A 24,579-nucleotide genomic window follows, 5' to 3' on the forward strand; every position below is an offset into this window, starting at 1 on the left:
CAGGGTGTCCCCACGTACCTCCCCTCTGCATTAGTGGCACTGGGAGGCTCTTGAGGGGAAGGTGCCAGGGTTGCACTGCATCTCCCTTGGAGTGTGGCCTCAGCCCTGAGAGATGGTTCTCCTGGTTCTCTGGATGCGGTCGAAGGTCTGGTTGTTTATTCTCAAAGTCTGGCATGTTTGAATCACATCATTCTTCCCCAGTTCCACTCTCAGACGGTGAAGTGCTTCTTCCAGTATGTGTGGGCCAAGGTGCAAATGCCAATTGTGTGACTGCAACACAGAGTCCTGTGGACTGGGCTATGATAGACAGAGATGGCAACCTTAGGTTGATGAGTGTCCCTCTGGTAGCCTCTGGTGTTATAAAGTGTCATCAGGAAGGGATGGTGAGTCCTGGTGACTGTCACCTTGGGTGACTACCCATATTTGGCCTTCTCTCCTGGCTCACTCCTGCTCACCTCTTGGGGCACAATAGGGTTATAATTTCCTCCAGGAAGCTAGGCTAGGAGGGATAGATGTACTAGTCAGGGTTTTCCAGAGAAATAGAGCCATTAGGACAAATACTGAGACATAGAAAGAGGTTTATTATGGGAATTGGCTTATGCGATCACCGTGGCTGAGAAGTCCCACAGTCTGTATGGTGGGGACCCTGGAATGTCGCTGGTGTAATTCCCCAAACTGCAGACCTGAGCCCTAGGGGCCAGTGTCCACGATCAGGGGAAGGTGGATACCCCAACTCCAAGAGGAGGAGCCAGGGGAAGATGGATACCCCAACTCCAGGAGGAGGAACCAGGGGAAGTTGGATGTCCCAACTCCAGGAGGAGGAACCAGGGGAAGGCGGATGTCCCAATTCCAAGAGGAGGAACCAGGGGAAGGTGGATGCCCCAACTCCAGGAGGAGGAACCAGGGGAAGGTGGATGCCCCAACTCCAGGAGGAGGAGCCAGGGGAAGGTGGATGCCCCAACTCCAGGAGGAGGAGCCAGGGGAAGGTGGATGCCCCAACTCCAGGAGGAGGAGCCAGGGGAAGGTGGATACACCAACTCCAGGAGGAGGAGCCAGGGGAAGGTGGATGCCCCAACTCCAGGAGGAGGAACCAGGGGAAGGTGGATGCCCCAACTCCAGGAGGAGGAGCCAGGGGAAGGTGGATGCCCCAACTCCAGGAGGAGGAGCCAGGGGAAGGTGGATGCCCCAACTCCAGGAGGAGGAGCCAAGGGAAGGTGGATGCCCCAACTCCAGGAGGAGGAGCCAGGGGAAGGTGGATGCCCCAACTCCAGGAGGAGGAACCAGGGGAAGGTGGATGCCCCAACTCCAGGAGGAGGAACCAGGGGAAGGTGGATGCCCCAACTCCAGGAGGAGGAACCAGGGGAAGGTGGATGCCCCAACTCCAGGAGGAGGAGCCAGGGGAAGGTGGATGCCCCAACTCCAGGAGGAGGAGCCAGGGGAAGGTGGATGCCCCAACTCCAGGAGGAGGAGCCAGGGGAAGGTGGATGCCCCAACTCCAGGAGGAGGAACCGGGGAAGGTGGATGCCCCAACTCCAGGAGGAGGAACCAGGGGAAGGTGGATGTCCCAACTCCAGGAGGAGGAGCCAGGGGAAGGTGGATGCCCCAACTCCAGGAGGAGGAGCCAGGGGAAGGTGGATGCCCCAACTCCAGGAGGAGGAGCCAGGGGAAGGTGGATGCCCCAACTCCAGGAGGAGGAGCCAAGGGAAGGTGGATGCCCCAACTCCAGTAGGAGGAGCCAGGGGAAGGTGGATGTCCCAACTCCAGGAGGAGGAGTCAGGGGAAGGTGGATGCCCCAACTCCAGTAGGAGGAGCCAGGGGAAGGTGGATGCCCCAACTCCAGGAGGAGGAGCCAGGGGAAGGTGGATGCCCCAACTCCAGGAGGAGGAACCAGGTGAAGGTGGATGCCCCAACTCCAGGAGGAGGAGCCAGGGGAAGGTGGATACGCCAACTCCAGGAGGAGGAACCAGGTGAAGGTGGATGCCCCAACTCCAGGAGGAGGAGCCAGGGGAAGGTGGATACGCCAACTCCAGGAGGAGGAGCCGGGGGAAGCTGGATGCCCCAACTCCAGGAGGAGGAACCAGGGGAAGGTGGATGCCCCAACTCCTGTAGGAGGAGCCAGGGGAAGGTGGATGCCCCAACTCCAGGAGGAGGAGCCGGGGGAAGCTGGATGCCCCAACTCCAGGAGGAGGAGCCAGGGGAAGGTGGATGCCCCAACTCCAGGAGGAGGAACCAGGGGAAGATGGATGCCCCAACTGCAGGAGGAGGAACCAGGGGAAGATGGATGCCCCAACTCCAGGAAGAGGAGCCAGGGGAAGGTGGATACCCCAACTCCAAGAGGAGGAACCAGGGGAAGGTGGATGCCCCAACTCCAGGAGGAGGAACCAGGGGAAGGTGGATGCCCCAACTCCAGGCGGAGGAACCAGGTGAAGGTGGATGCCCCAACTCCAGTAGGAGGAGCCAGGGGAAGGTGGATGCCCCAACTCCAGGAGGAGGAACCAGGGGAAGGTGGATGCCCCAACTCCAGGAGGAGGAGCGAGGGGAAGGTGGATGCCCCAACTCCAGGAGGAGGAGCCAGGGGAAGGTGGATGCCCCAACTCCAGGAGGAGGAGCCAGGGGAAGGTGGATGCCCCAACTCCAGGAGGAGGAGCCAGGGGAAGCTGGATGCCCCAACTCCAGGAGGAGGAGCCAGGGTAAGTTGGATGCCCCAACTCCAGGAGGAGGCGCCAGGGGAAGGTGGATGCCCCACCTCCAGGAGGAGGAGCCAGGGGAAGGTGGATGCCCCAACTCCAGGAGGAGGAGCCAGGGGAAGATGGATGCCCCAACTCCAGGAGGAGGAGCCAGGGGAAGGTGGATGCCCCAACTCCAGGAGGAGGAACGAGGGGAAGGTGGATGCCCCAACTCCAGGAAGAGGAACCAGGGGAAGGTGGATGTCCCAACTCCAGGAGGAGGAGCCAAGGGAAGGTGGATGTCCCAACTCCAGGAGGAGGAACCAGAGGAAGGTGGATACCCCAACTCCAGGAGGAGGAGCCAAGGGAAGGTGGATGACCCAACTCCAGTAGGAGGAGCCAGGGGAAGGTGGATGCCCCAACTCCAGGAGGAGGAACCAGGGGAAGGTGGATGTCCCCACTCCAGGAGGAGGAACCAGAGGAAGGTGGATACCCCAACTCCAGGAGGAGGAGCCAAGGGAAGCTGGATGCCCCAACTCCAGGCGGAGGAACCAGGGGAAGTTGGATGCCCCAACTCCAGGAGGATGAACCAGGGGAAGGTGGATGTCCCAACTCCAGGAGGAGGAACCAGAGGAAGGTGGATACCCCAAGTCCAGGAGGAGGAGCCAAGGGAAGGTGGATGCCCCAACTCCAGGAGGAGGAGCCAAGGGAAGGTGGATGCCCCAACTCCAGGAGGAGGAACCAGGGGAAGGTGGATGTTGCAACTCCAGGAGGAGGAGCCAGGGGAAGGTGGATGCCCCAACTCCAGGAGGAGGAACAAGTTTACTCTTTCGGTACCTTTTTGTCCCATCTGAGTCCTCAATGAATTGGATGGAGTCGGCCCACTCTGGGGACGGGGATCGTCCTTACTCCGTCCACTGAATCTAATGCTCACCTCTTCCAGAAACTCCTTCACAGACACTCACAGAAATTCAGGTGTGCCAGCAACCTGGGCCTCTCTTAGCCCAGTCCTGTGGACAGGTTGAAATTAACCACCTCAGCAGGTGTGGCCTCTTCTGCATCACGGGGTGCACCTCCATCACCGTGCGAAAAACAGATGCTTCATGGAAGGCAGTGTCCATTCCTTTGGGTGCAGAGAAAGCTCCTGTTCATCTCCGAAACTTCATGCCAGGTCAGCGACTTCTGCAGGACTCGGTCCCGCGCCTGGCATGGTGCTGGGTGCCAGGCTCTGATGATCCATATGCTCACAGTAAATGTAATATCAAGGAGGATAAAATTAGCCAAGTAGGTTATGGCCAGAGGGAAATTACTTGTTTTTTGCTCAATTTTGATGGAGACTGACAATTATCAATGGTCAATTTTTCTGATTTTCTATGAGTTTCTTCCACAGACTCTTATGATGCCCTGTCCGCTTACCCAGTATCACTGCCGTCTCCCCAGTTTGCTGCCCTGAACTCAGGTGAGAGCGCACACTTGCCTTTATACCTGCTGGAGCCATTCTTCTCTTCTTTCTGTTTGGAGCATCCTGAGTGTGTTTCTGGATATGTGCACGCACACACGCACACATACATGGGTGCCCATGAACAGGCCTCTCGCACCCCCCAGACCCCGGCGTCAGGTGTCAGGGGGAGTGGCTGGTGCTGGGGCTCAGGGAAGGATCAATGAATGCAAATGAGGACGTAGGTGCCTCGATTCGGCTGTGACTGGAGCTATGGGGAACCGTCTGTCGAGTGTTTTCTCAACCTTGAGTGCAGTGGGGCTGCATTAACGATGGAAAGAAAGGGGCTGCCACAGGGTGAGGCGGGTCCATCCCTACCCGAGTGGCTGTGTCTGACCGCTACCTGGGGAACCTGCAGAAGGTTGGCACGCTGCTCTGGCCTCGTGAATCGGGATCTGCCATCGGCTGAATCAGGTGCTTTAGGAAAAGGTCCGGTCTGCGAGGCCTGTGAAAACCGTGATGAACTACACCCGCAGCAAGCCAGTGTGTACTTGGTAAGGCAACTCATGCTTCTGTTTCCAAGTGCAAGCATCTGTAACGGAAGTGTCGTCTTCAAGATCACAGGGCGGAGAGAGCGCTGCCCTGATTTTCTTCGCCTTTGTGATCATCAGGCTCTGAAGTTGAGGATGAGTCTGGAGAGCAGTTCTGGGGTCTCTGCAGCTTTTCCAGGAGGGCTGTCTGCCCGGGTGAAGACACGCTGTCTCAGCTGTTGTTTTAGGACCATGGGCCCTGGGGCCCAGGACAGCAGGAAGGCGGGTCCCAGTCTCCTTCTGATGGCTCCATCTGCACTGGGTAATTATTTTTGACACGAGGACATCTATCAGTGAGGGTGAGCTGTTTGGAGTGCCTGGAGTGCTCCCAAAAAGGAGTATTAGAACAGCTCAATCCAACTAAAAACAAACAAACAAACAAACAAACAAACACCAAAACTGCTAAGTGGGCTTTAGGACTAACAGCCAGATCCCAGCTACTGGAGTGAATTTAAAGAGTAATAATTAATCCTAACAATTAAGGGAATATATTTTGCCACCTTCTCCCTGAGTGGACGCAGTGAGTGGATTTGGTTGTGAAGAAGGCAGACGTTGCCTTTCTTATTGAAAAGATGGGTTCATGCAGCAGAGAAAGTAAGCTGGCAGGGATGGGTTTTTTCTGCTCAGGTAGCAGCGAGAGCGGCAAAGCGATCTGTTTAAACACTGACCTTCCGTGTTTTCCTTGAAACAGAAACAGAATTTTAACACTGGCCTAAAGGATGGTGAGAAATGAACTCCTGGTTGCCGACCAGACTTCCCCTTCTCATCCCGACGACGCGGGACATAGGGTAGACGGTCCCAATGCCGACGTAAGTTCCACAGTTCATTCCTTTCCACGAGGATGCAGTGCCAACCCGGGAAGCCTTTATGGAGTGCCTGGGAGGTGCCCGGCCCTGGGCTTGGTGCAGGGGTGGGCAGTGGTGACAGACAGGAAGGTCACTGTAGGGGGCACACAGGGCTTTATATCATGTGGAAAGACACACGCCCATGAGTCTCCCAGAAATAGCACATCAGGTACTGCAATGCATGACAGCTTGAACCCGCAAAGCTGCAGTGAGCCAGAGAAGCCGGGCAGAGGTGGTGTCGGTGAGACCCTCAGGGAAATGCAGAGCAAGCCCGGCCCTCAAGTGTGGGTAGCTGTGGAGAGGCAGAGAAGGAGAGGACCCGCTGTGAGCATTCCAAGGCCAGCACAGTCACGTCCAAAGCAGGAGGCAGAGGTGAAGTCACTCATGTCTCTGAGGGAGAGATACAGAATTTTCTTCACACGTCAAAGTTAGGTTCTAGTATCAGAGCCCTGCTCATCCCCCTCTTACTCTCATCCGGCCACATCTCCGGGGCTTCCGCCTCTTCTATGGTCCCCGTGTTCATCTGGGATGCTGCCCTCGTGGCAGAAGATCACTTGCTGGGCCCTCCCAGCCTGGGCTCTTTAAGATTCGAGGACACCCTTGGGACCCATGGGAAATGGGGCAGAGGCACACAGGGAGGCCCCCATGTATTTTGTCTAAATATTTTAGAGGTTATCGCTAAGTCAGTAACTGCTGCATGTGTTCCAGCCCCTCAGCTTGACAAACATACATGCAGGAATACAGACCACGGGTATTGGTGGGCAGCAGCTCACATCTGGGTCCTGTTTGTGCAGAGCCCATGCTCAGCCACGTACGTGCTGGCTGCTTTCATGCCACAAGTCCAAGTTAGGAGCTGAGACAGAGGCTGTGTGGCCCACAAACTGAACCTATCTACTATCGGGTGCTTTATGCAGAGTCTGCCAACCCCTGAACTAGATTGGTCTGCATTTAGAATCCTTATTTTCTTAGAGTTCCATGCCATGGGGCATGGGGAGGGCGGGCCCCCAGCAGGGACCTTCCCCTTTCCCATCCTGCCCATTACCAGGTCCCCAATCAGGGGCCCCCCCATCTATGTGTGTAGCCACCCAATCCAAGACCATGCACCCAAGCTCCATCACACCTTTCTATAGACTGCTGAGCCCAGCCAGCTCTTAGGCCTAACGCCTGCTGTGATGAAGCCAGGTTCATGGGAGAGGCCCAGGTGAGCCTGGGTCAGACGTGGGCCACCTGGGTGATAAGGGCTAGGGGCTGGTGTGTGTGTGAATAGCACACACAATCACACAGTGTACATGGAAGGGGCTCAGCTTCCAGGTGGGGGCTTGCCTTTGCCCTGTAGGAGCAGTAGGAGGACCAGCACAGGAGCTTGCAAGCAAGAGCCCAGAGCAAGAGCCCCTCTCCCCTGGTGTCCAAGGATGGTTCTGCTGACCCAAGGGAGGAACACAAGAAGGGAAGCTTGAGATGCTACAAACAACAAAATGGCACCCTGTGTGCAAATCCTGGTGAGTGCACTTGTGGGTGCTGCAGCCACAGGCTCTGGAAGACACCCCTGCCTGGGCGAGCCATCCAGTCCTTCTCTTGCTGTTGGGGCCTGGATGCTCCAGCAGGGGCATTGGGCTGGGGTGACTCTTCTTTGCTCTGACTTGATGTGAGCCCAGTGGCTGCTTTGGAAGTGTCACCCTCAGGGGGTTTTGGTTGGCCTAAGAATCAATATTTATAGGGTGTCCTGCATTGTGTGTTTTCTATTTGTAATTCTCAAGCATGGCTCCCATTTCACTTAGTATCCAAAGGAGTAAGAAATCCTCACGTTGGATTCCATGAACCTAGGAACCCCAGTGTCTTCTGAACAGCCTTTTCCTCTTTGTGTTCCCAGCACACAAACTGTTAGAAAGATTTATGTTAGAATCCACCCAGCATCTGCTACCCAGAGCCTAATTTTGCCCTCCCTCTGAACTGAATTTTTAAGTTTTAAGTCAAATACTCGCTGATGTTTGCGCTTCCCCACTTCATGCATATTCTTCACCTGAGCCCCTGCACCTGGGGAGCAAACCCCTGTCCTGGAGGAAGCCTGATGCGCCACCTCCATTGTTAGAAAGCTCCCTCAGGCTGACGTAACCCTGTCCTGGACCTGGAGGAAGCCTGATTCACCGCCTCGATTTTTAGAAAACTCCTTCAGGCTGTCCTAACCCCATCCTGGACATGGAGGAAGCGTGATTCGCCACCTCCATTGTTAGAAAGCTCTCTCAGGCTGACATCACCCTGTCCTGGTCCTGGAGGAAGCCTGATTCGCAGCCTAGATTGCTGGAAAGCTCTCTCAGGCTGGCGTCACCCTGTCCTGGAGGGAGCGTGATTTGCCGCCTCCACTGTTAGAAAGCTCTCTCAGGCTGAGGTAACACTGTCCTGGTCCTGGAGGAAGCCTGATTCACCGCCTCCATTGTTAGAAAGCTCTCTCAGGCTGAGGTAAGATTGGCTTCCCCGCCGCTTCTCCCTGGAGACCCTAGTTCTGCTCTTTGAAGCCAAGCAAGATTACTCTTTATAGGGCAGCTTTGCCTTTATTTGTAGATAGCTTTTACACATATTTGCTCCCAAATCAACAAGGTTTTCCCCAGGTACCACCTGGACTATTCTTCTGTCAGCATTTCTCACGTGATACTGAGTCAGGAGCCTTTACTGTCCTCACCCTCGTGTGGGTGGGAGCCTGGTTTCTCATCACTCTGGTTAGACTGTGCCTAATGTGGGGTGCTGCTTTTTAAGGACAATCAGCTCTAAGTTGAGGCTCTGATTCTTGCACGTGCTTCCAAGCACGTCTCTTCTTGCCATCTCCATTGCCACCCCAAAGTCACTCCCCTCGGACAGGGACGGCAGCATCTCAGTCATCACTCTGTACCCCATTTGACCAGCTGGAGAGTCCTGTGTCTTCACACAACTGTGAGAATGATCATTGGAAGCTATGCATTCCATAATAGCTTTATGTTAAATTCATTTCTCATCTTTCATTGGCCCTTGGGAAGACGTCCAGATCCCTTAACATAGCTTACGAAACCCTCTCAAACTCAGGGCCCACCTTTCTCTCCAACTTCATTCCCCCAGCCCCGACGTCATCTGAGGTTCAAGTTCAGTAGCCCCTCTTGATAGCTGAGCACAGGAAGCTCAGGGCCCTGCGTTTTGGGCATTTGAAGGGTTCCGCTGGTCGTGGCTTTCCCCACCATCTCCTCCGTTTCCACACGACTTGCTCCTGCATACCTCAGCTTCAGTGCCGCTCCGAGAGGCCTTTCCTAATGTCTGAACCAGGAGAGGCTTCCCACCACAAGCTCCTCTATGGGATTCTGGTTAATTACCAGTGAAACGTCCACCTTTCCAGCCCGCCTGTAAGCTAGGCCATAATAGGGGCCGTAGCCCTCCTTACAGCCGCGTTCTTGTCACCTGCGCGGTGTCCAGCGCACACTCGCCTCCTACGTATTTGCCTTGTGAGGGATCAATCGGTGTCGTAGAGCCGTTCAGAGCTATTCCTCTATTAAGTGATTTGGATACCATGGTGACTAAGAAGCATGCTGTGATCGCTGGGGTTTATGGAAATATTGTGTGCTCCTGAGCGTTCAAACAGGTGGAATATCAACTTTATTAAGCCCAGGTGGTGGTGCAGTTTAAATGCGATTTCATCTTTTCTTATTTTAATTTACGAATTGCTCAGTTGATCATATTAGAAAAGAGTACCCACATTGTGCCTGCTGGAGCCATATCTTTGTAAAAATTCTGAAAGCAAGGGGAAATGTTGGAGTAAAATTATCACATTTCCTAACAATGTCTGTTTTGACTGGAAGCTCTAATGCATAATTTTGTGTCAACCAGAATAAAAGTAATCTTTTTTTTTCCTGGTGGTGCTTTATAGTTAGATTGTAGGGAATCTTCATAAAATATGCCAGCCATGCACCTTTGATTCAATATTCATGTATTCTCCCACATACGGAATTTCAAGGCCATGTTTAAGGGGAATGAAACGAGGCCTCATAAAGAATGGCAGCTTATGCAGCTTACTTTTAAAAAGAGGCTCTGAGAAACCTTTAGCTTTTTCAAACTTCCAAATTTTAACCCCAAATCCACTAGAGCCCAAATACCCACATTTGTCTCTGAATAATCGTTTGCTTTTGGTTAAGGATGGTTACACTAGCACAATTTGTTTTTTTTTTTGAGATGAAGTCTTGCTCTGTTGCCCAGGCTGGAGTGCGGTGGCATGATCTCGGCTCACCACAACCTCCACCTCCTGGGTTCAACAATTCTTGTGCCTCAGCCTCCTGAGTAGCTGGGACTACAGGCGAGCACCATCACGCCCAGCTAATTTTTGTATTTTTGTTACAGATGAGGTTTCACCATATTGGCCAGGATGGTCTTGATCTCTTGACCTCATGATCTGCCCGCCTCGGCCCAGTCACACATGTTTCCCTACGCAAGCTCCCTATTGATTGGAATGATGAATATTTCCAATGGATCGATTTTCAATGGTGGAAGAAATTTGTCACTTGCATAGGTTTGTCATTTGCCTAGGCGAAAGGTTGCTTGATCTTAGAAGCGTCATTGCCTCTTTTTGAGAGGAAATTGAATTTCAGAAAAGGCTGTTACTAGATGAAGTGAGAACTGATTGAAATTATCAGTCACTCCTAATACATTTTGGGTGGACAGAGCCATGTGGAGGAGCTTCTAGGCTGCACATGAGATGGACATATTCCAAAGGCCCATGTGAATATACACATCTGTATTATGGGAGGAGAAACATATGCATGCCTTAGTAAAAACCAGCCAGTAGCATAGAAGAGCCAGCTTTCAATGAGCAGAGAGCAGGGTGGGAAGCAGGAGACAGGCCCACTCTGGTTGGGTGGTTAGGAGTTGGTAAGTCCATAGGGAGGATACATGCGGAACACCATTGAGTGCTATTAGCTTGGTGGCCTTGGGCGGCCAGAGTTGGCGTGGATGGGTAGATGACGTCAACAGAAGGAATGAATAATCCTGCTGGGAGATACTTTCTCCTCTCACGACTTTGCTCAGAGCTTGACACGAGGATTCGTGTTTGATATGAAACACCATTCAAGAGTTTTACTCACAATTTATGCCACATATGCAAAAACAAGCAGAAGAAGAAATGAAAATATGTAACATACGATCTTCAAGAATAATTCAGATATTTAAATAAATGGGAGAGAGAATTTTGCAAGCTTCTTAATTACAAATAATAAAACCGTTTTAAGAGAAGTTTGTTTCCTGTTTTCCCTAAGCATAGTGTATGCAAGCATAAAAATTCCATGTGCCTGTCTTGCTATCTGTCGGTGAGAAAGATATCAAGTTCCTCTCCTTTAACAGGTGGATATCAATATGTTTTTATTTATGAGTGGATTCATTTAATTCCTGGATATGATAGTTCTCATATATTTCTATAAGCTGATTTCTGTGTTATCATAAATTCTAAGTCAGCATTTCTATACCCAAAAGAGCATTTAAAAGGTATCACAACTAATCATTCAGCTAAAACCAGGGCTTTATCTGAGCTCCTGCAGACACAAACACATTGATCCTACAGAGATGCTGATTTCTCTGGTGCTGTAGGAAGCACCAATGGGAAAAAACTGACTTTAAAAGTCAGTTAAGGAAGTTTAAGAGTATTATCTGGTGTGTCTGAAGTTGGAGTTATTTAGGTTTTATTTTTTCAGACACCAAATGACTCACCTACTTAGTGTAAATTTATGTTTAAAAAAATAACAATTTTCATCTCTAATTAATGCTTCACTTAACCCAAGCTGGACATAAAGGAAGATCATCAAATAATATGTGATTTAGCTCTTGTGATACAAACATGTGAAGGTCTGGGTCATTTTGATTCTGTTAAAATGAGCTAAGCTTTTCATTTCTTTTTCCTATCAAGAAAGGCTCTCGAGCGACTGTGTGGTCAGGGTAGGAGAGGCTGAGGAAGGTTGGGGGCCATAACCTCGGGTTCGGTGTGAGGTCCGGGACGGCCTGGGCCTCAGGGACAGCTGCAGCCAGGTCAGGAACACGTGCGGCTCTCCTGCTTGGCCATTTTGTCATTGTCGTTCTGTGTTTTTTGTTGTCTGTGTGTTTTCTTGTTTGCATTGGGCTCTATGAATATTTTTATTTTGACTTGAGTGAAACCTTGGATTCACCAAAATGTCTGACAAATCGTTCCCCATCCTCCACCCCCCACCCCCCACCATCCCACCTGATTTGGTCAATCATCAAACATTAATTGAACATTTACTGTCTTCCTCGCCTGCTAGTACGTGCAGTCATGCCTCACTTAATGACAGAGCAATGTGTTGTTAGGCATCTTAGAATCTGTGAAATTTCTTAAGTAAAATTGGAATATTGTTACGTTTGGATTAAGTATGACTGTGCTCAAGACAAACTCATCTGCTTTTCTGTCTCCATGTAGATTTTAATCTACATCCTTTGGCATGCATCGGCATATATGTACCATGCTTGAGTTTGTGTGTGTATGGGTCACCGTAGTATATGGGGCTACTGTAGAATATGTGGTTTGTTGTTGACTCAAGCATTGTTATGGGGTGCATGACTGTATTTGTGGGATGTATGGTAAAGGTAGATCAAAAAAATCTACTTTGACTTTAAGACATTTAAAATATGCCTTTCTTGAATTTGTCCACAATGCAAATTTAATTTCTGAAACCTGAAGATAGATAAAACTCATTTTAATTGAGATGAAAACACAATCTGAAACCTCCCTAAATTTCTTCAGGGGTAGTTTAGGCTATGATTGATGAAGATTGTCATAACTGTACCACTTTCTTGATGTGAGAATGAGTTAACCCTGAAGCCATAAGTCTTAGTCCATCCAGAATTTTGTAACAAAAATTCCACCACTGGGGCCTGTGAAACAGTAGACGCGCCTTTCCCACAGTTCTGAGGCTGGAAGCTGGAGATCCGGGTGCTGTAGGCTCTGTGTCTGCTGAGGGTTTCCTGACTCAGATGGAGCCTGTTTGCTGCATCCTCCCATGGCGGAAGGGGTGAATGAGCCCCCTTAGGCCTCATTTACGGGGGTACTAAACCCATCTGAGAGGGCTCCACCCCCGTGGCCTAATCACTTCCCAAAGGCCCCACCCCTTAACACCCCCTCATACCATCCCTTTTCAGGTAGGAATTTCTACATAGGAATTTTAGAAGGACACAGACATCAGACTTCACTCTATTAAATCCAGTATTTTATTCCATTAAATCTAAAAGCCGTTGATGGGGAGATACACCACAGCTGTACGCACGACTGAAAAATGCTGCTGAAACAGTTATGACCATGCTTGATTTGTACATTTTAAAAAACTCTTTAAGACATACACAAATGTAGATTCTAATGTAACTCTGTTGGCATGTATCTGCATACATATGTTCCATATGAGTGTATGTGTGTGTATATATATATATATCTTATAATACATTGATAAAGGAATTCCTAAAACTTCACAGAATCTGCCTTTTCTTACACATTTTTAAATCTCGGACTCACGAATATTCATAATTTTCCGCCTGTCATTATTTCCTGCCATCAAGAGTATTGAAAATGCAGCGTTTGTACAAGCCTGCACGCCGGTAGTCAGTTCCAACCCCGACACTGGCTCTGCACGCTTAGTGCTGATGTTCTCTGGAATTCTTGATTTTACCAGAAGGTGTCAAGAAAAGATCCTCAGACAGCATTCCTTCTTTCTCCCAGGGCCCTTGCATGTTGTGGGGCCAGAAGCGTCCGGGCTGTACAAATAGTACCACCATCTTCCTGGAGTGACTGGGAGAGACACCTGGGATCTTGCTGGGTCAATAGTGACTGTGCAAGGCCATCCATGATAAAATGCGTTCCAACCTCAGACACATGAAAAGTGAAAAAAAGAAAAGGCATCTTAGAATCTGTGAAATGTTGTAATTAAAACTGGAACACGGTGGTTATGTTTGGATTAAGTACGGCTGTGCTCAAGACAAGCTCACCTGCCTTCTGCCTCCCGCTTCTGCCTCCTTCGTGTGGTCTCCAGCCTGGAGCTGGACGTTGGAGTGAACATGAGTGTAAATACAGAAAGCGTCGGCATGTTTTCAACAAGGAAATTCGTTTCTTTGCTCTGTGTGTTTGTGTGCCTGTCTAGGACAGTGTTGTAACTTCAGGAAAGATTAGAATCAGTGAACTCCTTCAGGGCTAGGACCGGGAATTCTATCTGTACTCTTTTTACCTTCTTGCCATCTTTCCTCAATTATTAATACATTACTCTCGCACAAGGAGGCAAAGCTCAGAGGTGTTAGTGCTCTTTTTTTTTTTAAAAAGCAACAAGTATTATAGATCTTTATTTTAGTAAAAGAAAATTGAATCTTCTGACAAGAGTTCCTATAGATTCTCATTTAGTCCAAATTGTTAGCCCAGAAGCCCCAGTGAACACAACCTGAATTTCGGGCTTTATACCACACGATACAAGAACCTGCAAATAAAAGAAAAATTCAAGGACTTTAGGATTCTTCTTGCTTCTCTTTTGCATCTGAGACTTCAAGAATACAATTCAAAAATTTCTCAGCTTAAACATTACATTGATTTAAAGTTTCGGATATTTCAAAGCCCTTTCTCTGGAATTGCCTTATTTGGTCTAAACCCAAGTCAAAACACCCTACAAGGGAAGAGCAGAGAGGGCTTGTTACACCCATTTCTCAGACGAGAAGACTGAGGAACAGAAGAGCCGAGAAGGCACTACTGGTGCTCTGTCCTGAGTCCTGGAACTGTCCCAAGAATACCGGCCTGATGTTAGCAAGCACCTTTCCCACGACCTGGCACTACCTACCTTTCATTGCGGTGTGGACCAGAGTCCGAGGAAGTGTGAGGCCCAGAGAGCGTGCGGGTGAGTGCGCCTGGACCCTCTGTCAGTCAAGATGTCCTTGGCTTTTCTCCTTGCTGCCCTGTTCCTTGTACAGCCACACCTATCTCCAAACCAGCTGCATCGACACCTTTGTTATTATGAGGATTTGATTGTAAGTTTTCTATCAGGCTATAGAGAGCTTAATTTAATGCAATGGAGAAATCTCCAAAAATAAAGCCCTTAAGTTTTTTTTTTTTCTTTGGCTTTGGACTTACAAAACCTCTCTCATCTTGATTGCCCTTTCTTGGCATAATAAATCAGATGTCCTCTTGTCCAAAAGGTGCAGTCATGGAATTGGCTACCCTAGATCTTAGCATGCTCTCATGGAATCAGCTGCCATAGATCTTAGCATTCTCTCCTGAAATTGGCTATGCTAGATCTTAGCATCCTTTAAGTCTCAATTTGATTTTCTTCCTCAGCTCCTCCAGGCAGGTGTGCGGGCTCAGCCACTGCACTTTCAGTCCCCTGCATGCATTTTCAAGGTGAAGTATTTGGTGGGGTTTTAGGAATTCTACTCTGACTGCAGACAGTAGTGTGGCCCATTTTGCTACAGGGCGCTAATAGACCTTTGTGATCTTTCCATGGTTTAGCCACCTAGGATGTGCAGCTTTTACTGTGATCAATGGCCTCTGAGGGTATGGAGTGGAGGTCAGAAGAAAATGCAAAGCAACTGGACGTTCCAGATGAGGAGCTGTTTCAAAATGAGGAGCCATTTCAGACAGAATGAGCTGTTCCAGAATGGGGAGCCATTCCAGAATGAGGAGATGTTCCAGAGTGTGTAGCCATTTCAGAATGAGGAGCTGTTCCAGGATGAGGAGCTGTTTCAGAATGAGGAACCATTCCAGAATGGGGAGCTGTTCCAGAATGGGGAGCCCTTCCAGAATGGGGAGCCATTCCAGAATGAGAAGCTGTTACAGAATGAGGAGCTGTTCCAGAATGAGAAGCCGTTCAAGCATGGGGAACTTTTCCAGAATGAGAAGCTGTTCCAGAATGAGGAGCTGTTCCAGAGTGGGAAGCTGTTCCAGAATGGGGAGCTGTTCCAGAGTGGGAAGCCATTCCAGAATGGGGAATCATTTCAGAATGAGAAGCCATTCCAGGATGAGGAGCTGTTCCAGAATGGGGAGCTGTTCCAGACTGATGAGCTGCACCTTGTACCTGCCTCACACCTGATCACATAGCCTTGATGCCAGAAACCTAGAGTGCTCTATTTAGGAACGTTAGGCTGGCAGCAGGAACCCCTGAAGAAACTCAGGACACTAGGTGCTTGAGCGCGCAGCTAACCCGCAGGAGAAACATCTCCCTTCTGCTGACCTGAGGCTTGACTCCTCTCCCACAGGAGGAGAAAAGAGGCCTCCACCCACAGTCCACTGTTATCCTAGGAGAAATCCTCTGGCCTCCTGCCCAGGAAGTGACAGAGAAGCTGAAGCTGCTTTAACCTTCAAGATGAACCTATTTCTTCCACGAGGTTTTCTCTTGCCTGTACACGTATCTTTAAGTCCACCAGACACATCCACGCTCTGCTCGCACAGCGTTGCGAGGGCCAGTGCCCTTCTCTCCCATCCTGTGTTTGCATTTGCCATTTGGTGGGCCTGTCCTGCTGACCAGCAAGTCTCTGTACTGAATTTGGTGACTTTGATCTTATGATTCATGTTTCCCAGCGAGGTACTCTGTGTCTTTGCTATGAATAATGTGTTATTCAAGGGCTAGTTGGAAGATTGCATATATAAATTGAAAACATTTTGTCTAAAAAGGGGTGTATAGAGAGAAAGAAAATTTCAGCCAGAGAGAATTCTTTTTTCTTCTTGAGACAGGGTCTTGCTCTGGAGTGCAGCGGTGCTATCATAGCTAACTGCAGCCTTGACCTCTCAGGCTCAAGCAATCCTCCCGCCTCAGCCTCCCGAGTAGCTGAGACTACAGGTGTGCACCACCATGCCCATAAATTTTTTGTAAGGACAGGGTCTTTCTTAGTTGCCCAGGCTGATCTCAAACTCCTGGGCTCAACCAGTCCTCCCTCCTCAGCCTCCCAAAGTACTGGAATTACAGGCGAGAGCCACCGTACCTGGCCTTCAGAAAGAAATTGTTTAAAAACCTCCTTAAGGCAAGTACAGAACACAAAGGAATTCAAAGAGCACCAACATGGGATTAGCGAGGGCCGGGAGCTAGGCCTGTGCCATGTATCACTGCATGTTGTGCTGTGTGAGATGACAAATCTGTCTTCCATTACTCTGTTGAGCAGTTACTCCCGAGAAGAATTATTTCCTTTTAAATAAAAAACATACCCTGTACTGGCTGCTGCATTATAGGGCATATCTTGCCTGGAAAATGGAAGTCAGGCAACATGGCTATTCTATGGAAATGTCTGAGCACAAAGAAGAGGCAGAAGGGAATGTAGAGGCCTGAGATGTCTTAGAAATGAGCAGGAGGATGACTGCAATGGCCCTTCAGTTAGGTTCAGGCTTCTGCGGGAAAGCGGCACCCAGGAGCCCAGAGCAGGGAGACAAACCTGCGTGGAAGTCCAGGTGTGCTGTGATGGAGAGGCCTCCATGTGGCCTTCCATATCCTGACAGCCCAGATGGGGCGAAGGCAGACCTCCACAGGAGTAGACACCCAGAGGCTGCAGTGAACCCTGCAGGGGACATGGCCTCTGTCCCCACCTGCAGGGAGGAGCCCAGGCTCTGGAGTGCAAGACAGTGCCAAAGGCAGCAACCTGCAGCGCAGGGCTCCTCTCCCAGGGAGCCTCGTTTGCAAGATGCACGAGTAGTTCACAGGGCTGCTCTGACTGTGTCCACAAGGCTCTGCCCAGGCTTGGGAGGTCTTCCATGAAGGCGAGGACCAGGGCTTCCTTCTGTGCTCACATAACCTTTCCAATCCTCAGAAAACTCAGCTGGGAGAGCGTTAGCCCTGGGGTTCTCTCTGGTCCTAGAAGCTCTTCTACAGGACTCCTCGAAACGCCCAGAGACCCTATAGACCCTGCAGCCTCTGCCCGGCATATCCATTGGATTCAATTAGGCACAACCCAACTCGGCTCCAGTCAGCACCATTTCTTGGGATGTGCAGCATTTCTGCGCCTCTTGTGAAGACAAAGATAAATTAGACACAGACGGCATTCGAGACACTTGCCATGTTGAAGAGGAGAGGAGCACAGAAACAGCTAGCAATGGTGCCAGACAGAAAGTTGTGTGCCTGACAGGGATGAGAAATTGGGGGGATTTGCAGAGGAGACATGATTTATTCTGACCAGAGTAACAGAGAAGGCTTCATGGATGACACAGAACTTCAGAGGGAGGATTAAAGCACAAGTAAAGCAGGATTTTTTATTTTAGCAAAAGAAACAGATGTGAATTGGAGGCAGTGGCTGAGCCATTCCCATCGATGTCTGGAAGTCTGAGAAGCTCCACTGGGGCTGCTAGCTGACGGCTGACCCACCTGTTATCAGGGGTATTTGGACGGCTCATGTGCCATGCCAGGGAGGTATCATGTGGCACCTGCCCCCTCTGTGTTTTCCTCTCACATGGGCCAGGGGCTCTGTCCCATTAAATAACCAGAAGATTAAATGCCAACTTTACAAAGTTCCTCGTTCGGATCACTCTATGCCCACATCCTAGAAACATCTATGGAACTTAATTTTCCCACTGAAGGAAATGGCATGATTAAAAACTTTTTAGATTATATGAATAAAATGATAGGCAAGCAATCATCTTGAAAAGAAGGACACTTTGGGGAAACCTCCCCATTCTATTTTCCTCTGTAAAACAAACTGAACTCCGGTGGTTTTCAGCATTATAACATTCCTGTCCCACTGGAAATGCAGAAGACCGGGTTAAAAAACCCTAAGCGGACCAAGCCCATTATAACATTCCTGTCCCACTGGAAATGCAGAAGACCGGGTTAAAAAACCCTAAGCGGACCAAGCAGAACAAACACTGCAACCCCTTTCTAAAAGCAGCCTTCATTTAGACACCAAAAGACGGGAGATACTATTTCTTTATTTTTATTTATTTATTTATTTTTTTGAGACGGAGTCTTGCTCTATCACCCAGGCTGGAGAACAGGGGCATGATCTCGGCTCACTGCATTGCAGCCTCTGCCTCCCAGGTTCCAGTGATTTTCCTGCCTCAGCCTCACGGGTAGCTGGGATGACAGGCACACTCCACCATGTTCTGCTGACTTATATATTTTTAGTAGAGACAGGGTTTCACTATGTTGGCCAGGCTGGTCTTGAACTCCTGACCTCAGGTAATCTGCCCACCTCAGCTTCCCAAAGTGCTAGGATTACAGGTGTGAGCCATGGCGCCCAGCTGGGAGATACTATTTCTAAAGCTTACACTTTTCTGATTCCTCTCTCTATGTGTAGATCTAGATGTAGAAATAGATTGGTTGAGAGACAGAGAGGTGAACATACATAGATGATAGATGAATAAATAATAGCTATATTGATTAGATAGGAAGATAGATGGATAGAGGATAGATAAGAACAGATGATAGGCTGGGCGTGGTGGCTCATGCCTGTAATCCTAACACTTTGGGAGGCCGAGGCAGGCGGATCACAAGGTCAGGAGTTTGAGACCAGCCTGAGCAACATGGTGAAACCCCGACTCTACTAAAAATACAAAAATTAGCTGGGCATGATGGCATGCCTGTAATCCCAGCTACCCAGGAGGCTGAGTCAGGAGAATCACTTGAACCCGGGAGGTAGAGGTTGCAGTGAGCCGAGATCGCGCCATTACTCTCCAGCCTGGGCAACAGAGTGAGACTCAACTCAAAACATATATATATATATATATATATATATAATCCATAGATAGATAACAGACAGAAGATAGATGATAGGTTGATGATAAATGAATGATAGGCAGAGATAGATGACTGATAGATGATAGATAGGTGATATAAAGATCCACACAGAACACTTTTGCAAATTTATGAATAAGGACTGTTTTCTCGAAAGTTCATAAGGGATCTAAGATATTTTCTCTTCAAAATAATAAGTTTCGCAGCACGAAGCTAACATGAAAACTTAAAAATGAATGTCCTTGTGAGGATGCACACGGACACAGAAGTGACACGCAGACAGCCTCCAGGCAGACGGGCTTTCGGAAAGCCCTCCCCTCCTCAGCTGCTGGCACCCCCAGCCTCAAGTACAGAGTCCCCAAGAATTTGAAACAGGAAGACCCAGTGAGCTGTCCCTCAGCAGCGCAGGGAACACACATGCGATGTGACGGTGGAGCCTGGAGGGCACCGCTGGGCTGTGGAAGTGGTGGGGGGTGAAGCCAGCCCAGAAAGCAGGTCCTGGCTGCGGAGGACCACGGGCGGCTGGAGCAGGCAGGCTTGGGCCTTGCCTGGGGCTGAGGTGGTCCCAGTGGCCCGCTGATGACATTGTCCTCCATCCAGACATAGAGAACGTTCTTGGTGCTATATTCTGTGGAAATCTACAGGCAAGAACCCTAACTTTGGGTTTAGTGAAGGATTAAGGGATGTCGCGTGTCCCCTCCCTTGTACTGAGTCACATGAAAAATCACGCCTGTAGCAAAGGCGGACGTTCCCACACATGCGAGAGGCTTCCAAGGCCTGGCTGTTCGTTTCCGGACTCACTGCTTCTTACAGTTACACTTGGCTGTGACGCGAGGGGAGCGCGAAGGTCTCAGCGTTCCTGGGCCGGAAACGGTGGCACCTCGGGGGTGGAAACCACTGGCTTCAGCTCCAGGAAGCCTCAGACGCGGGGACAGCGCCCTCACCCGGCTCTCGGAGGCTCTGCACGTCCGCCGCCGTCTCCCCTTTGATTTTGCAGATTGTGGGTAGCTCGGGACCTAGCAAAAGGGTGAAAAATATGTAGTCTACAACACTGCTTCTTAAATAGTAATGCCCACGAAAATCCTCTGCGGGCCTTGCCAAATGCGTGCTCGGATTCAGCAAGTTTGGGTGGGGCTTGAGAATCTGTATTTCCAACTCACCTGCTCCTAGGTGATGCTACTGCTGCTGCTGCATGCTCTGCCTTGGGTAGCAAGAGTCTAGGGGTGAGGTGTGGAGGGAGGGAGACAGAGTGAGAAAGAGTGAGGGGGAGACAGGAAGACAGAGGGATCGCCATGGAGAATTAGCACGCTGCAGTTTACGTGTATGAATTGATTAACTCTTGGGAGGCTTAAAGTTCTTTTCTCTCAGAGAGAAATAATTTTTAAAAATCTGATCATGCATTGTGAGTCAATACAATATATCCTATTTAAAAATGTTTAACGTATAATTATTATTGTTCCCAAAGAATGAAACGTTCCCTGTTCTATGCCTCAACATAGAGACAAAAGATTAACTTGAACTCTACTTAATGATTCTACAGCTTAATGGGAATGACTTAATTGTGGAATTTAACATCTTTCCTTAGGAAAAGAGGATTCAAAGAAGAAGTGTACCTAGGGGTGGGGATAAGGAGCAAACGTGGAGATTGTGATTTTCTAAGACTTTGCTATGGCCACTCTCCTGCACGCTCGCCCTTGATCAGAGCCACACATAGGGTGTAATTGTACACATTCTGCATGCTGCTTATAAGTATTTTACAAATCTCATGGTGAATATAAATTTCTGAGAATTAGGCTGAATAAAAAAGTTCAAGTAGATTAATTCTTATCCTAATGGCTTCCTTTTAAATGTGTGGTGAAGTCGTGGTGTACTCCACCCTGAAGCTTCTGAAGGCATTTGTATTGATCAGCTCCTTGAAGAGTTTGCAGTGGTCAGAGATAATTGAGAAAGAATAAAACGGTCTCAGTAGGAGGATACTTGGAGTCTTCCAGGTAGGAAGACATTTGGAATCTTCTGGGTAAGAGGACATTTGGAGTCTTCTGGGTAGGAGGACATTTGGAGTCTTCTGGGTAAGAGGCCATTTGGAGTCTTTTGTGTAGGAGGACATTTGAAGTCTTCTGGGTAAGAGGACATTTGGAATAGCTTCTCTCCCTTTGCCTGTCTCCTGCAGATAACCCTGATATTTAATATTGAGCCCTCAGCCAAGCTCTCTTCTTAATATTTCCATAGTGCTAGCCACTTTAAGAATCAGATGCAATATTCTTAAATATAAAATACACTTAATTTTGCATATCATTACTTGCCTTAAATTGTCATCATAGCCATCACAGAAACATACTTACATGCAATTTTACAAAGAAAAGTGTCTCACATTTTTCAGAAAATAGAGGGGTGGCCACTTCTTGAAACATGAACTCAAGAAATTCCAGTGAAACTCGCCTTTGGTTTTGCCTCACAGTGGATTCTGAGGTAGAGTGGTGGCCTCTGAGCTCGCGTGCATGTGTAGCCTTCGGCATTGAGACCACGTCAGGGTTTTGTTCTGATGGCAGTCGATGCTGAAGATGTAGCTTTACCACAGTTGGTGGTAGCCATCAGGATCAGAGTGTCTATCGGTTGTATTTTCTTAATCGGGATAGGAGGATTCATCAATAAACTCCAGAACTATACAGGACTCCCCCAAGTTAGTTCACACCACACCTTGTCCTTTATTCTTCAGCCTCAGAGCTCCTGCTTCCATCCACTGCTCCTTTATCTTGTCTAAGTTAGTAAGAAAAACAACACGTGTTTCTGCTTCAATTTTGAGGTCGTTTGTTCCAAAACAACTTTTGAAAGAATTTTGCGGGCCAGGCGTGGTGGCTCACGCCTGTAATCCCAGCACTTTGGGAGGCCAAGACTGGTGGATCACTTGAAGTTAGGAGTTTGAGACCAGCCTGGCCAAGACAGTGAAACCCCGTCTCTACTAAAAATACAAAAAATTAGCAGGGTGTGGTGGTGGGTGCCTGTAATCCCAGCTACTCGGGAGGCTGAGGCAGGAAATCGCTGGAACCTGGGAGGCGGAGGTTGCAGTGAGCTGAGCTTGCACCACTGCACTCCAGCCTGAGTGACAGAGCAAGACTCTGCCTTAAAAAAAAAAAAAATTTTTGCTTTTTTATGTAACGTGTTTGAAGAATTCTAATTGCAGGGGAAAGACGAACTCCAACCTCAGCCACCACTTCTTCAAACGAAGAGTGATCTTGCCTGGTACAACCTTCTGCATCCATTGAGTTGCATCATATCTTGACTAAAAGAAGAGACACTTTAAATAGCATTAAACTAGATGGCACCTGCAGGTGTAGACCTGAGTGAATAATTAGCCTCAGATGTTCTCATCATGAATAGCTCCCTCTGCTCTTATTGTTTTCAGGTATCCTCGTCTTAAAAATTTTTTTAAGTGACTTTTTTTTTAAAGAGATATTTTCCCCCCTTTCTCCTCTTGGCAAAACTTCTTCAAAAGTTGATGCCTTGAGACCGTGACCTATCCCCGACCAATCATCTCAGAGGTGTCTGGGTTTATTTCATGGTTCTTGGACCCTTCTCTGATTGCGTGGTTCTTGAAGATGTCTTCTGGGAACTTCAATTTTGATTTAAATCCTAATTTCTTTGCTTTGGGGAAGAGACTTTAAGCCTCAATTTAGCCTGCTGTAGGACTAGGGGAGTCACGTGACCTCACTCACGAGCTCTCGCGAGGATTTACCAGGCAAAGAGCCTCCAAAATGCGACAGAGCACTTGCTGTAAGACTGGGGGAGAAATGTGACCCCATTCACAAGGTGTGACGAGGATCTACCAGGTAAAGCGCCTCCAGAAGGCAGCAGAGGGCTTGCTGTAGGTCTGGGGGAGTAATGCGATTTAACTCATGGGGTATTGGGAGGATTTACCAGCATCTCCGGAATGCAGCTAAGTGCTTCCTCTATGGGTGGAAAAGTAATGTGACCTCATTCATAAGTTATTGCAAAAATTTACCAGGCAAAGCGCCTCCAGAAGGCAGCAGAGGGCTTGCTGTAGGTCTGGGGGAGCAGTGTGACCTCGTGGGGTGTTGGGAGGATCTACCAGGCAAAGCGCCTCCAGAAGGCAGCAGAGGGCTTGCTGTAGGTCTGGGGGAGTAATGCGACCTCGTGGGGTGTTGGGAGGATCTACCAGGTAAAGCGCCTCCAGAAGGCAGCAGAGGGCTTTCTGTAGGTCTGGGGGAGTAATGTGACCTCGTGGGGTGTTGGGAGGATCTACCAGGCAAAGCGCCTCCAGAAGGCAGCAGAGGGCTTGCTGTAGGTCTGGGGGAGTAATGCGACCTCGTGGGGTGTTGGGAGGATCTACCAGGCAAAGCGCCTCCAGAATGCAGCAGAGGGCTTGCTGTAGGTCTGGGGGAGTAATGCGATCTAACTCATGGGGTACTGGGAGGATTTACCAGCATCTCTGGAATACAGCTAAGTGCTTCCTCTATGGGTGGAAAAGTAATGTGACCTCATTCATAAGTTATTGCAAAAATTTATCAGGCAAAGCGCCTCCAGAAGGCAGCAGAGGGCTTTCTGTAGGACTGGGGGAGTAAAGTGACCTCTCTCATGAGGTATGTTGAGGATTTACCAGGTAAAGCGCCTCCAGCACGCAGCAGAGAGCTTGGTGGAGGCACTGAAGGCGTGCTGGCTGTTTTTCATTATGAATCAACGCCGTCAGATGCAGAATTCAATAATTAAAAAACCTGTGGGTCTTCATCCCTGAACAACACAACCGAACAGACGGGTTAAAGCATCAGCAGCAGGTGTTCTGGGCCAGGCCTCCCCCAGCCTTTGAGTCAGGGATGCTCTCGGCAGGGTCGCTTCGCCATGTGGATGGTAACAGCCTAGCAGTTTCCACAAATGGTTAACAGGGTTGGGATGCCTCGGTGGTGTCGCCTTGCTGCCCTGAGACAGCCTGTGTTTCACTGAATTTCATGTTGATGGGGAGCGTCGCAACTGCCAGTTTCTTCGTATTAAAGGACATATCCTAAATTCTAGAAGGGGTGTTGCCAATTTGCAGAGATACGCCTTCAATTTTCTTTCTCTATTCTAAGCTGCAAATGAGCTTGAACTTTTGTAGGGCACATGGCTTCACAATGGCATTCTGAATCTTGTGTGCCTAGTTTTGCTTATTAATTGAGCAGACAACTTCAAAGGGATCCATCAAGACCTAGATTTTGAGGTGACACAAATACAAACTTTGGTAAATTTATCACCCTTGTTAATTAAGTCATCATTCTTTTGCAGAGAAAGATCTGTGTGTCCAATGTAAAGTGCAAATGCTATGTAGCTGGGACATTTCCAGTGGTAACAACTCTACTATGT

At 49.0% G+C, this 24,579-nt stretch overlaps 1 long non-coding RNA gene across 1 annotated transcript, besides 5 other annotated features; it reads left to right on the plus strand.

The window, feature by feature from the left end:
* The first annotated feature begins 4,854 nt into the window (after positions 1-4,854).
* On the plus strand, positions 4,855-7,438 carry LOC105377783 (uncharacterized). The gene is made up of 3 exons (XR_941358.3): positions 4,855-4,956; positions 5,386-5,503; positions 6,876-7,438. It is a non-coding gene; the product is annotated as an uncharacterized LOC105377783 (long non-coding RNA).
* Positions 6,032-6,816: an enhancer, noted in NCBI's record as "H3K27ac-H3K4me1 hESC enhancer chr8:2198229-2199013 (GRCh37/hg19 assembly coordinates)". NCBI's record gives its function as "activates a minimal SCP1, AML or CMV promoter by ChIP-STARR-seq in naive H9 embryonic stem cells {active_cell/tissue: H9 hESC(naive)}" and the evidence as "EXISTENCE:reporter gene assay evidence [ECO:0000049][PMID:30033119]".
* Positions 6,817-7,592: an enhancer, noted in NCBI's record as "H3K27ac-H3K4me1 hESC enhancer chr8:2199014-2199799 (GRCh37/hg19 assembly coordinates)". NCBI's record gives its function as "activates a minimal SCP1, AML or CMV promoter by ChIP-STARR-seq in naive H9 embryonic stem cells {active_cell/tissue: H9 hESC(naive)}" and the evidence as "EXISTENCE:reporter gene assay evidence [ECO:0000049][PMID:30033119]".
* Positions 12,443-12,616: a silencer, noted in NCBI's record as "fragment chr8:2204711-2204884 (GRCh37/hg19 assembly coordinates)". NCBI's record gives its function as "represses an EF-1alpha promoter that drives an FKBP-Casp9 reporter gene in an ReSE screen in K562 erythroleukemia cells {active_cell/tissue: K562}" and the evidence as "EXISTENCE:reporter gene assay evidence [ECO:0000049][PMID:32094911]".
* Positions 13,903-15,103: an enhancer, noted in NCBI's record as "BRD4-independent group 4 enhancer chr8:2206168-2207367 (GRCh37/hg19 assembly coordinates), duplicate 1 on the GRCh38 assembly". NCBI's record gives its function as "activates an origin of replication core promoter dependent on BRD2, P300/CBP, MED14 and CDK7 cofactors, and independent of BRD4, by STARR-seq in HCT116 cells {active_cell/tissue: HCT116}" and the evidence as "EXISTENCE:reporter gene assay evidence [ECO:0000049][PMID:35650434]".
* Positions 19,889-20,443: an enhancer, noted in NCBI's record as "H3K4me1 hESC enhancer chr8:2212147-2212701 (GRCh37/hg19 assembly coordinates)". NCBI's record gives its function as "activates a minimal SCP1, AML or CMV promoter by ChIP-STARR-seq in primed H9 embryonic stem cells {active_cell/tissue: H9 hESC(primed)}" and the evidence as "EXISTENCE:reporter gene assay evidence [ECO:0000049][PMID:30033119]".

The sequence above is a fragment of the Homo sapiens genome, chromosome 8, assembly GCF_000001405.40.
Source record: "Homo sapiens chromosome 8, GRCh38.p14 Primary Assembly".
Lineage (NCBI taxonomy): Eukaryota > Metazoa > Chordata > Mammalia > Primates > Hominidae > Homo > Homo sapiens.